The 14,387-nt window shown below is 37.9% G+C and overlaps 1 annotated feature.

The window, feature by feature from the left end:
- Positions 2,769-3,486: an enhancer, noted in NCBI's record as "H3K27ac-H3K4me1 hESC enhancer chr6:116210349-116211066 (GRCh37/hg19 assembly coordinates)". NCBI's record gives its function as "activates a minimal SCP1, AML or CMV promoter by ChIP-STARR-seq in naive H9 embryonic stem cells {active_cell/tissue: H9 hESC(naive)}" and the evidence as "EXISTENCE:reporter gene assay evidence [ECO:0000049][PMID:30033119]".

The following is a 14,387-nucleotide window of genomic DNA, read 5'->3' on the forward strand; positions in this document are numbered from 1 at the left end:
ACTGGGAATTTCTTTGATGGTCTTTGCCAAGTCCTGATGTACCTTCTGGAATGATCTGACTTACCACATGTTGTCTATCATGAACGCTTCTCCCTCAAAAAAAAATTAATAATGTCTCTGTCAGCTTAAATTTTCTTAACAAGAACTGACTATAGCAGAAGATATTAATTAGGGACGTTTTGCATTACGCTAACCACAACATATTAGAATGCAATTCCACTAAGAATGGGGCTAGTTAAAAAATTGTTCTGCTGCAATGGGGCTGCTGAATTTAAGGTGACATGTTTTGTTTCTCCCAACAATGAGTGATACAAGTACTAAAAATGAATAGCAGTTACCTATAACTCTTGAGCAGAAATTGATGTGATCAAAAGCTGGATTTGCTCCTTGATGTTTAAGTCTCAAAGCTTTGCACTTACAACTATTTAAAGACGCTTTAGAAATTTATTGACATTTCTAACAGAAAACAATACCTTCATATTATCACATTATAGAACTTAGCCTTTTTCCTCTTTTTCTCATTGAAATAATTATTTTTTATAATGCAGTTTTTAATAACTTGAGTTTTCCTGGGACTACTACAATTGAGTTGTATTAGAAGAGAGTGCCTATATTGATGGATAGTTAATTTCAAAGATTTAGAGATGCCTTTTAAACAATATATCCCAAGCTTACTAAAAAGATTGAATATATTTACCCAATAGTGTTTGTGTTGATTCATTCCTCTGGCCTAAGCATCATCCTCTTTATGGTTCCATTTAACATGCAAAATAATCTCAGTTCTATACATTGATCTACTTACTCCTTGTCAGATTAATGTGCTTGTCATATTCCTTTTGTTGGACACTTAGTGCCAAGATGATGCAAAAGTAAAAGATATTCAATAGAAATCAGAGATTAAAATATTTGCTCCCTTGCTGTCCCTGCAAACAAACTTCCAAGGATTTCTAACTGATGTTACTGAATGGCAAACATCACAAGTTTTAATTTAAATATAGTATTTTGTGGTGGAATTTGTTTATGCTATCATAATTATTATTTTATTTGGATAATACCATAAGACATTAATTTACTAAAATAAAATAATTGATCTTCCCTTTATAATGTATGATTTTTATGCGGATTAGGTATATTTTAATCACATTTACATTATTTCTTTATGATTTGAGCACACTTCATTTTCTAGAAGGCATTTTCAATTTTCTGAGTGGCTCAGTGGACAAATATAGTTCAAAACCAGAATCTTACCATAAAGCCATTCTTTCACCGGCATATCTGAATTGCATGTTACAGGATAGACTAATGGTAAAAGAAGGAAAACATATAAAGATACAACAAAAAGCTGAAACATTTTGTATTTAATGAAGGCAAAAGTCTTTAGGAAACTAAAACTTTCACTAATGGGCTAGCTTATGTGTGCTTTTGTAGTGTACTGTATAAGGAGAAGCTTATAAAGTAACTATTGTTTCCATATCATGACAAAATGCTCATCTTTGCAGTTCTACTGACACTCCTCAGCGGGACTCTTAGGCCACCAAAAGAATAGTTCTCTGCCGCCATTAATATCTAATTGGCCCAGGAGCTAACCCAGAAGAGACCTTTCCTGCCAACGGTCACCGCCCCCTGCAGTGATTTGCACCCACTGACACCAGAGTGGCTAATTCACCTTCACAACCTGTCAGCTTCCACTCAGATCACTTTAACTCTGCTTCCTTTGTGACACGGATCTGCTTTTAAAATGGTGATAATCTAAGAAGCAGTCCTCTTGAGAGTCAGTTGTGATTATATAATCTGTCACAGACCCGAAGGAGTTATAAATACAGGCGGACACTGAGATTTCACCAGGGATAAGGCATTGGAAGCCCTTATATCAAATAACTTCCTTGCTTCCCTCTTAGAAGAAATTCTGTATTTTTATTCATGGACAAAAGCATACCATGAGGGCGGCATCGTTATCAAAAGAGAGTAGGGGAGCTCTTAGCCATTAGCCAAACATAATTTTCCGAGTTATCCTCTCTGATCTTAGGTGCTGAAATCAAAAGCACACACTTTGGAGTAAATGGTAATTGGAGCACTAAGTGATTTGAACGATGATAATTGGTGTGTCATTGCCCAATACAAGCAAAAGAGAATACACAAACAGAAATAATTCTGTCCTACTCCACACAAATTTCACATACATTAAGCAATGAACCTACAATTACCCATGATACTGGAGCCCCTGGCACCTCAATTACTCATGGTTCGTTCATCAGCAGCTCCAATTTTTACTTTAAGCTCACAGTTAACTTTCTCACAATTTTTAAAATGTAAGTTCTTTATACCAGCAGATCTGTGTATGTAATTTGGTAAGGAAACAGTAATCTTGGCTTAAAGCCAATCACCATCTTGTGCTAGCCTGAAACCAATCATGCTGAAAACTGATTCTCACCTTGTCTTACACAGGAACTACTGACATAAAGTATATTCATATACACCTACCTGCACACTCATCCATGGAGTGGCACTGAGAGGTGACAGCGTGCTGGCCGTCCTCGTAGCCGTCGCTTGCTCTCGGCGCCTCCTCTGCCTGGGCTCCCACTTTGGCGGCACCTGAGGAGACCTTCAGCCCACCGCTGCACTGTGGGAGCCCCTTTCTGGGGTGGCCAAGGCCGGAGCTGGCTCCCTCAGCTTGCAGAGAGGTGTGGAGGGAGAGGCGCGAGTGGGAACCGGGGCTGCGCGCAGCGCTTGCGGGCCAGCTGGAGTTCCGGGTGGGCGTGGGCTTGGCCGGCCCGCACTCCCAGCGGGTGCAGGCCCCGCCGCCCGGGCAGTGAGGGGTTTAGCACCTGGGTCAGCAGCTGCTGTGCTCAATTTCTCGCCGGGCCTTAGCTGCCTTCCCGCGGGGCAGGGCTCGGGACCTGCAGCCCACCATGCCTGAGCCTCCCCCTCCATGGGCTCCTGTGCGGCCCAAGCCTCCCCTTCGAGCGCCGCCCCCTGCTCCCAGTCCCATTGACCACCCAACGGCTGAGGAGTCCAGGCGCACAGCGCAGGACTGGCAGGCAGCTCCACCTGCGGCCCCAGTGCAGGATCCACTGAGTGAAGCCAGCTGGGTTCCTGACTCTGGTGGGGACTTGGAGAATCTTTATGTCTAGCTAGGGGATTGTCAATACACCAATCTGCACTCTGTATCTAGCTCAAGGTTTGTAAACACACCAATCAGCACCCTGCGTCTAGCTCAGGGTTTGTGAATGCACCAATGGACACTGTATCTAGCTGCTCTGGTGGGGACTTGGAGAACCTTTGTGTCCACACTCTGTATCTAGCTAATCTAGTGGGGACGTGGAGAACTTTTCTGTCTAGCTCAGGGATTGTAAATGCACCAATCAGCGCCCTGTCAAAACAGACCACTGGGTTCTCGGTAAAATGGACCAATCAGCAGGATGTGGGTGGGGCCAGATAAGAGAATAAAAGCAGGCTGCCCCAGCCAGCAGTGGCAACCCGGTCCATCCCCTTCCATACTGTGCAAGCTTTGTTCTTTCGCTCTTTGCAATAAATCTTGCTGCTGCTCACTCTTTGGGTCCACACTGCCTTTATGAGCTGTAACACGCACTGGGAAGGTCTGCAGCTTCACTCCTGAAACCAGCGAGACCACGAACCCACCGGGAGGAACAAACAACTCCAGACGCGCTGCCTTAACAGCTGTAACACTCACCGTGAAGCTCTGCAGCTTCACTCCTGAGCCAGCGAGACCACGAACCCACCAGAAGGAAGAAACTCCAAACACATTGGAGCATCAGAAGGAACAAACTCTGGACTGGACACGCCGCCTTTAAGAACTGTAACACTCACCGCGAGGGTCTGCGGCTTCATTCTTGAAGTCAGTGAGACCGACCCACGAATTCCGGACACAGCACATCCCCCATGCAGGCATCAATCCATACATACAGATAGAGTGTTGATAGAATAGTGCCTCCCGCAGCCAGGCCTTAATCGCAGATAGACATACACATTCATGGACACACATTGCCGCATGTTGATACTTGCAGAGGTATTCATACATGTGCAACCACACCTGTCTTCATTCAATAGGACAAGAATAGCACTTCCTTAAATCTCTTCCATGGGCCACTGCTCCCATGAAATATTTAAAGCCAAAGAAATGTCCAGTGGATACTATTCCCACGAGCAAATATACTAGGGAATACTGTGCAATAATCCCCACTTCTTAGAGTTTCTCAGTGTGCATTAGCCAGCCCTTCATTAAAGCAACACATGTTAATTAGTATCACTCCATATTTCCCACGTTTATTTATTCTTTTCTTCTACTCCTTCTATTCCTGAAACACTTTTGGATACGTGAAAAATGCTAAATCACAGGTTTTATAGCCATTACGGACTAAGATGAATAAGTGGAACAAAAGCAGAAGAAAGGAAAGAAATATATTCTAGCTATTCATAGACTGTGAAGTATGGACAGAATAACTCAAGAAAACAAAGTATCTATCATGAAAACAGTATGAAATCTGCTTAAAACACATTTAAGTCAAGCAATTTTTAAAGTTATTTATTTTAAAAATCTTGTTCCTATAACCAGAAGCTCTGTGTCAAAAAGTAGTTTGTTTCTGAAAACAGTCAGTGACTAAGATTATTGCAAAGAACTTAAATTTCAATGTATGTGAACTCCAGTGACAGTGAAGTTAAAAAAAGAAAACAAAGAGTGGGAAGATATTTCTCTCTTCAAAAAAGGAAGAAAGAAAGAAAACTTGCAGTGAAAATTCTGAGAGGTAGGTAGAGTTTCTTTGAAATGAAGTATCAATTTTGTTTCTAGTTTCATGGCAAAAAAATAAAGTGAGTCTAAGAAAGTGTTTCCAGCAAAGCAGTAACCACAACCTTCTTACTCACCCATATGCCTGACTCATGTGGCTGAAGGATGAGTGTCATCACAGTGAGACATGATCTAAGGACATTCACAAATATAGGTCACACATACACCAGAAGATTTTAATAAGTAAGCAATTGAGAGAGAGAAAAGCCCAACATGTGTCTCTTTGAAACCATAAATGGAGAAGAGGGAGAGGACCAGAATTCATTAAGGACCAGTAAGGGTTGGAGAGAAGGTATCAAACTAGACAAAGACTGCTGTTTTCATTAACTTCTTTCACAGCATTATTCAAAGACATATTATCTTTAAAGTGTTTGGCTGTACTTCCATTTTGATAAATTTAAAAAGAGAGTTCTACTTTTTATTGTGAAAGCTAAAAATGGAAAAAATGATCAGTCAGGAATTCAGATTAAAACACATTTCTTATCAATCAGATGGCCCCAAGCATCAGGTGTCATCTGTGGTCCCACTCACTTATCACAGGTTCAGCCCTTGTGGGTTAATTAGGCAAACTTGCACACATGGAGTAATAAAAAAAAATCACAGGGTGAAAAAATGACCGTAGTATCCTTTGAGGCATTTCTCCATTTTCTACTGATAAGATCTTGATCATTATCCTTTGCACAGACCACTGAGCTACGGGCTGTCCACCAAGAATACACTGAATGATGAGGTCAGATTATTCTACACAGGCATGCTTCATGTTGCAGATATAATATTGAATCTTTCCAGCAACACAATATGTGGCCTTTTCCCATAGGCTATGAGTTTATCCTTCTATAAAAAGAGCATAATGCCTGGCCATCTGAATAGCTCACTTTGCTTCTTTGATTTTAATCAGTACTGTATATTTACCTAATTCCAGAGGCATTAATGGACTCACGTATAACATTGTTAGTGGCAAAGAGCAGGTCCATATAATTTGTTGCCCAAACTGAGATACTTCTGAGAGTGAAAGAGGAACTAGTAAGATTCTTGGGCAATGGGTGTAAAATGAGATTTTCCTGGACAGTTGGGGATGTATGGTGGCCTATAAAGAGGGGACTGAATCCCAGACCCTAACATTGTCTCGTACTTACAAAAATAACATGCGGAATTTCAGATCAAAAAAAGCCAGTTAAAACTTCTATTCTGGATAGTTCTGGCATTCCCCTCACTTCCTTTCTTTACCTGTTCCTTTACCTATTCCTGTACTGTCTGGCTATGATCTTATATTTAGACACTATACTTCATCCAAGTGAATCTTCCAATATTTTACTGAGTTTTAGTTAAAATCTCCATATAGTCAATTTAAAGTTCAAAGGGAGCATGATAAAAAATTCTAGTAACAAACATGTTTTCAAAAGATGTCATAAGGTCAAAGAATGGCTTTTTTCTCTGCTCGGGCTTTTTAAAAAAGAGAAGCCACGATGTTCTGTTTTTAGAGCTATTTGGATTTCTATTCTAAAAATAAAAAATAAAAGACACCACATTGAGAACATGTAAAAAATGAAAGAAAAATTCAGGAGATTTACACCAAAGAAACTAAACCCAGGGCTGTGATCATCACAGGCTCTGTGTAAGCCACAGCAGAGCGGGCGACAAGCCCAAAGGGACATGGAAGAAACATGAATATAGTCGGCACTGTGAGTTAATGATGTTATTTATTGGCTCTTGTGCAGGGGTCAGGTACTTGGGTTTAAGGTCATGGACTTCAGATAATTTATTTTGAAAGTTCAATCCTAAGTCTGGGACAATTGCCTTTATTGTGTGATTTGGCATGTTCTAAAAATCTTCCCCACTGGAAAATACATCTGACTGAATCTGTCATGGAACCTGACAATCTGGTATTATAGTACTATGTTCCCTAGGCAATCTGGAACCTGGTCCTATATTCCCTGACATCTTCTATAACGGTGGTTGTTGCTTGTCTGGGTCACAGACCTCTTTTGAGAATCTGATAAAAGACATAGATCCTCTCCATAACCCCACCACCAAAAAAATGCATAGGTGACATTCACAGAATACTGTGAATACTTTTAGGAATTTTGGGGAATTTCCTCACTGTTCATCAATTTTACCCACAGGTAAGTTAAAACTGCTGCTCTTTTAGGACATCAGAAGAAACGTGTTTTTTTCTAATGGTCTTAGATATGTTGCCAACTGAGGGCAACATGTTCACAAACTAATTCTTTTAGGGCAATATATGTTAAACTATTATGGTATATTTTTGCCTGATAATTAGTAGAATCTTCAAGAATTAAGACACATGACTTAGAAATGTGAACAGTAATAAAACTAAGAAAGTCTGCATTTATAGATAATCCATATCTTTTCTGTATTCAACTATGTTTCATTAAGTATTAACTATGTTTCAGATATTCTGATATGCCCTGAGAATAAAATGAAGAATAAGTTAAAGACAATAATTCTAACACATCAGCTAATGCTTATAATAAAATGGTGAGGGTTTGCAGGGAGATAATTGACCAAAAACAATGATAAACATATATTAAGAACTTGCTAAATGCCAGGCTGCGTGATCCGTCTATATTTACAGCCAAATGCAGTAAATATTTTTTAATTAAAAATTATTTTACAATGAAGATACTCTAGCACAGACAGCCTGAGCGACTTGCCAAGGTCACTCAGCTGGAGAAGTGACAGAGGAAGGAAATGAGGCCAGGGCTGTATGTCATAGAGGCTCTAATTCTACTTTTGCATTATCTAGAATTGTTCTTTATAAACTAAATCTAGAAGGCATGTGCATTGTGAATAAAAGAGGGAGATTTGGGCAAGGGAGTGATGGGGAAGACTAGTTACAGGCAGTTGTCGGAGATACTGAACTTGAACTCAATCTTGACAAAGCTGGGCAGGAAGAAGTATATTTAAGAGATTGAACTTAGTAATTAGTCAAAAGAGGTCAAGGGTAAATAAAACTCAGGAGTGACTCACAGGTTTCTGACTTGAGTGGCTTAGAAAATGAAGGTGTCTGAGATGAAATACGAAAGAGAAGCAGCTTGGAGGAAGGAAAGAAATGTGACTATTATCCAGTCAAGATTCTTGAGTTGACAGTGCCTATAGCACACCTAGTAGACCACTGAATATATTGATCTAGGGTTCAAGAAAGGTTTTTAATTAGTACAGGACTTTTTAAAGTGTGGTGCACAGACCGGGAGTATTCCCTGATACCCTTTTGAGAAACTCATGAGGTCAAAACTATTTAAATAACATCACTAAGACGTGAACATATTTGCCTTTTTTTGTTCTGTTGGTATTTGCACTGACGATGTGAAAACAATGGTGGATAATACTACTGGTGCCTTAGCACACGTATAGGCAGTAGCATCTACTACTGGGAGCCTGGCAGCTTTCAAACACTTTAAGGCTTTCCTGAGAAGATAGGCGATGATGTTTCAAATGTGATTGGTTGGTTTGTTTTGATGTTGTATAATAAAAACTATCAACATTTGGAAAATGTGTAACCCAAGAAATCAATATTTTTCCAAATAACAAATACGCGATGTTGTAATATCATGCCTGGGTAAAAGATCCATTCAAAGTGCAAGGTAGACCAGTGGATTTTAATGCAATAAAGTATGAGAAGTTATTTACTACAGTTTTGGATTCTACCTTGCAATTGCTTTTTTTGAAACTACCTCATTGATATTTGGTATAGTATCAAAGAAGAATATTCATAGTCACATGAAAAGACTAATACACCTCTCTTACCAACTATATATCTGTGTGAGGCCAAATTGTCTTTATATACTTCAACCAAAACAGAATATCACAACAGATTGAATGCAGAGGCAGATGAGAATCTACCTGTCTTCTATAAAGCCAGGCATAAGAGAGTTGCAAAAATGCAAAACAGTGTCATTTTTGTCACTAATTTTTTTAGTTTGGGAACATAGTTATTTTTCATTAAAAACATATTACTTATGTTAGTAGGTAATATTAGTACTTTTACATTGGTAAGTAATGGATCTATTACTTTAATGGATAAGTAGTGGATCTTTTAAATTAATTAGTAAATGTTCTAGAACCTTTCTATATTTAATGCAATAAGTATCAATAGATATGACCACATAATTAAAAACTCTTGATGTGTTCTCAATAGTTTTTAGAAGTGTAAAGAGTTACTAAGAAAAAAATATTTGAGAATCACTGAACTGGTATATTGAATTGGTATATATAAGACTAATCAGAATATATATGGTAACTAAAGCCATAGACAAGAGAGAACATTATTTTAAGTAATCTTCAATAAGAAGTTAATTAAAACTATTACTAACCTGTGAGTGGTAATAGTTAAGAGGATTTAAGAGAAAGGAATTATAAAAGAGAGTTCCTTGAAAGCCAGGGAAGATAGGAAAATTCTAAACACTTGAAACTAACTGAAGGGATAATTGAGGGACATCAATTTCACTATTTTCTCTAAGGTCAAACTTGGTATTTAATAGATGTCTCTTCATGGTGAAAGTAGGAACAAGCAAAGGCATGCACCTGAACAGCTTGATTCAAATGGCCACATTCCAGGCCAATTAAATACTTCTGAGTTTCTTAAATAAAATGTACAATAACCAATCAGAAAGACTGTGCCATTAATTAATTTGCTATGACAGCTCAAGCCAAGAAATGGACAATACGGAAATGGAACATTAGAAAATTTAATTGATAAAGAATTTGAAAATAACCTTTATAAACAAAGGTAAAAGAACTTGGATTATTTTTTAATGACAGTCTTTCAACATTAAGAAGGACACCACTGATTTGATTTTATTTGAAAACCTAATGAAAAGATGCATGCTAAAATATTTAAAAGGGCTCAGGCTAGCAACTACAAAATTGTATTGACACGCTGAAATATTATAAAGTTAACAACCCCCAAAGATCAAAAGAATAACAAACCAGCATCTTAAATGTGAACATTTAAAGAGCAAATGGTAATGCTTGTAGGTATCTTGGAGTCCTGTGGGTGTTGATCTGATTTTACACTGTGGTTCATCTAGATTGGAATGTTTAGCCCAATCTCATATTCAGGGGTAATGGCAAGTAAAACCCAGTAAAGCTAAGGGAAATGTTTTGTCCCATGAATCTTCCGGTTAAAAAAACACACTAATCTGTGTGACCAAAAGCAGCACTATAGGTCTTCACTTTATTGAATGCTGGAAAAAAATAATATTTCTGCTAAAGGCAGTAATCTTTAGGTCATTGTGGAGTTTTGTTTTAAGGTGTACTTATGTGTGCCTGTTTGTGAGCAACGATTTATGTTGTGTTTATCAAATTTATATACATACATATTCTTTCTTTCTTTTTATCCATTTGGACACATAGAACCTTAGGAATCTGTGAAGCATCACTGCTTTCTCCCTTACCCACTAGACAATCCACATTATCCACTCAAGATGCAAAATTGCCAGGAAACAAACCCTCTGTGGGAGCAGGTCATTTCATACCATAATAGCTCAATGACACCCTCTAGTGGGTAGTCTCCATGCTGTAATTTTGAGGAGGAAAAAATTGCTCTTAGTTTCCACTTTATCCTCAATTATAATATATGGCATTTTGAGAATTTGCACATTTCATAAGAAAAACATAACTTAATGGTTAATATGTTCTCAATGAAGACTGAATTAAAAAGCAGAAATTGAGTATCTAAGATGAACTTAGAATCATAAAAAATATACAAAAGCAAACTGACCTCAGAATGGCAAAAGAAGACTCCTCCTCAGCTGTAACGACCCACTCAGAGTCCCCAGAGATGGTTTTGACAATACAACTTGACTGCCATGACCAGAAGTATCCCTCCTGCAGAGACACATTTAAAGTAAAAGCAAGGAAAAGTTTGTTATAAACACCGCTAAATCAAAAAGGCTGCATAAGAAAGAGAAAGAATAAAAGGAAGATATCTTTCCTTTGTCAATACATCTTTGCTACAGCAAAAATTCCAGATGAGTTTTCTTTGGTCGGTAGATTAGAGAATACACCAACAAGCTAAAAAGAAATAAGGGTCTATAAATAGTTCTATCTCAGATAGCGGATTGAAGGCCATTTGTGAACATGTTCCTACACAATTTGCGACATGATCCATGAGCAAGTCCAATATTATGCCATCATTGTGGGAGTCAATGGGTTAAGACCCAGAACTTAATTGTCTATAGTTTGGGCCATTGAAAAACTTAACGCAGATATTTAGCAAAGCGTTCTGGAGCAGCGCAGACCACACTCTCAGAACGAGATTTCTCTGGGGCACACTGTGCAGGATCCCACAGGACCAGCTACAAAGCTATCAGCATGAATGAAGCATTATCGGCAGCCCCTTCCCAAGTAAAAACTGCAGATTAATATCAAAACCCACTGCATGTCTGTTCATTTTAAATGTCTGTCGTCATTTCTACTTTTCTTAGTGAATATAGGTTCAGGATTTCAAAACTATTTTTTTGTAAATTGGTCAACTTAATACAAATAGATGTCTGAATTACCAAAACCGGATTTGACTCTTCAATATCAATTTTCTCGTTCCCAAGAAGGAAACAATTTTTGCATCCCTTTTACTGAGTTTTATTTTAACCTGGATGTGTTTCATAATATATTTCATATTCCAGATTAGTGGGCAGAAGTTCTGCCCACTGTTAGTGCAGTGCAGTTTAGCATGAGAGGCAACTGGTTATTCCTCTTGAGTCAGAAGACTTGATTTAGAGGTTTGGATCATAACTCTGCAAATGACAAGTTGTGTGGCGTTGATGGAGTAAAAAAAAATCATCCTTGATGCTGTTTCCTTGGCTGAAAAATATAGGGGAAATAATCCGTGATTGTTTTACCTCAGAGTGTACTAAAGGATTTACAAGATCACTTACTTATGCAAAAGCACCAAGTGTATAGTACCCAATTGGTATTTTTTTTAATGTTTGATGAGTTTCTCCTTTTTAATAGGTATCTTGAGTTTTATCTAGTAGTTTTTTCTTTAACAAATATTAAAGTGAAAGGGTTTTTCTCCCAGTTATTAGTGACAAAATGAGAGTGAAGCTAGTTTAGTGCAGGCACCCAGAAACTTTTCAAAATGAGTGTGTCTCCTTGCTAGTCCTTGCCCATCCCCCCTTTCCCAAACACAGTCCTGTGTTTTTTTTGTTTTTTTTTTTTCTCGGAGATAGGATGATGACACATTGGTTCATAACAGCAGCACATCTGCTGCATATTATTGTGAAGATGTCATTGGAAGCCCAAGAATCTATAGGAATTGTTCAAATCCTTTGATCTTGAACCAGAAATCTTTCTTTGCCATTACTAAATAAAAATGTATTCCAGTTAGACTCAGAACCATGAAATTTGATGTGACTTTATACTTGAAAATGTTTGCCTTCAAAAAAATTTTTTTAAGGAATATACATATATTGTTCAGTTGTTGTCTTTTAGGAGTCTATCAGTATCCACAGGGAAAACGTGTAACCTGGAAGAAAAGAAATTCCCACTAGAAGAGAAAGATGTACTTTCTGTGGTTGATTATTTTTTGTATTGGTATTTGTTTCCTAGGGCTGCCAGAACAAAGTACCACATGCTGGGTGGCATGAAATAACAGAAATGTATTCTCTCACACTTCTAGGGCTAGAAGTCTTAAATCATGATGTCAACAGGATTGGGTTCTACTTGAAGCTTTCAGGGAGAATCTGTTCCATGCTTCTCTTATAGCTTCTGGTGGTTGCTGGCAATTCTTGACATCCCTTGGCCTGGAGACCCATCATCTAATTTCTGTCATCATCTTCATATGGCATTCTCCTCTAAGTGTGTCTTTGTCCAAATTTCCCTTTCCTGATAAGAACATCAGTCATTAGATTAAGGCCCACCCTAATCCAGTGTGGCCTCATCTTAATTTGATTACATGTGTAAAAACCCTATTTCCAAATAAAGGCATGAGCAGGTGCCAAGGCTGAGAACATGAACATGTATTTTGAGGTGTGAAATTCAGCCCAAAATACCTGACCCCCAAAAGACTACATAGACCCCAAATTAAACTTATCCATTAATGGCAGTGGTCTTCTCGACTTAAAATGATATTTTAAAATATTTTCCAGAAGTTAATTGTTAACTGGGACAGCAGCTCATTTAATAAAGAAAATTTCTTTTTAAAAAAACATTGTAATGTGAACTAAATACTTTAGAATATTTAATAAATTAATATATGTGGTTTATAAAACTGTGCCAATCACAGTTTACAATAGCATAAGACAGAATTTTTAAAATGCCATTCCCTTAATATGTTGACTTTTGATGCACAGGTTTTACACAATGACACCTGCTTTTGAGTCCCAATGCTCTACATCAGAGGGAGAATTTTAAAAATTAAAATCATAGTTATTAATGAGGCTTCTAATTTTTGGCATTTGATTCAATTTCTTCTTCAGCAAAACTTTTTATAAGAGCTATACTAAGTAAAAAGATTGATAAATTTTATGCTTCACGTTTTTTTTATTTTCCCTGGGATGGGTTGCTAACACAAAGCTGATAGGACGTCAAAAAATTGAGCAACTTGACATCTAGATAATCAGCTCCATGAAAATCTAAGCAAAACTGAGTAATGAAAAAAGGATGGGTGATACTGTTTGGGTGTGTGTCCCTTCAAAATCTCATGCTGAAATTGGATCCCTAATGTTGGAGGTGGGGCCTAGTGGGTGGTGTTTGGGTCATGGAGGCAGATCCTTCATTAATAGATTAATGTCCTCCCTGGGTGTGGCACAAGAGTGACTTTCACTCTATTAGTTGCTGCAAGAGCTAGTTGGTGAAAAAAAAGCCTGGCACCTCACTTCTCTCTCGCTTCCTCTTTTGCCGTGTGATCTTCACACACACTTTGCTTTCCCCCATGAGCAGAAGCCGCCTGAGGTCCTCACCAGAAGCTGAACAGATGTCAGCACCATGCTTCATGTATAGCCTGCAGAACTGTGAGCCACATAAACCACTTGTCTTTATAAATTACTCAGCCTCAGATATTTCTGTATAGCAATGCTAAATGAACTAAGACAGTGGGATCCCGCTTAGAGCTGAGTTCAAATCCCTGTTCATTCTTTCATTAACTACATAACTTTGAGCAAGTTGTTTAATCTATTTTAGTCCCTATATCCTTATATCATTTTAATCCCTATTGTTGTGGGGACATTAAAGAAAAAGCAAATATAAAGCAGTGGGCACAAATTAGGTGCCTAGTTAGTGCTTTCTCCTGATTCCAAGTGTTAATCATTCCAAGCCTTTGGTGTTTGCCTCAGTTAATAAGAATCTCAGTGTCTGTCAGCTCAGACCTTAAATAAATATTGTCTATAAAGCAAAAGAATACACAATGCAATTCTGATTCCAAAAAGCACCTTTTTAATCTAGTCAGCGTAGTTTAATAAATAGATTTTATTGCCAAAAATAAAAACATTATATTAACTGTGTGTAAAAACAGGGTAGTGTAGTAATAATACCTACCCATAACCAGAAAAGTGAGAGTCACAGAATCAATCTGTGAACTCCATACAGCAAAATGAACAAGACGTTCATGACAGAATTATGT

This window comes from Homo sapiens, chromosome 6, assembly GCF_000001405.40.
Source record: "Homo sapiens chromosome 6, GRCh38.p14 Primary Assembly".
Classification (NCBI taxonomy): domain Eukaryota; kingdom Metazoa; phylum Chordata; class Mammalia; order Primates; family Hominidae; genus Homo; species Homo sapiens.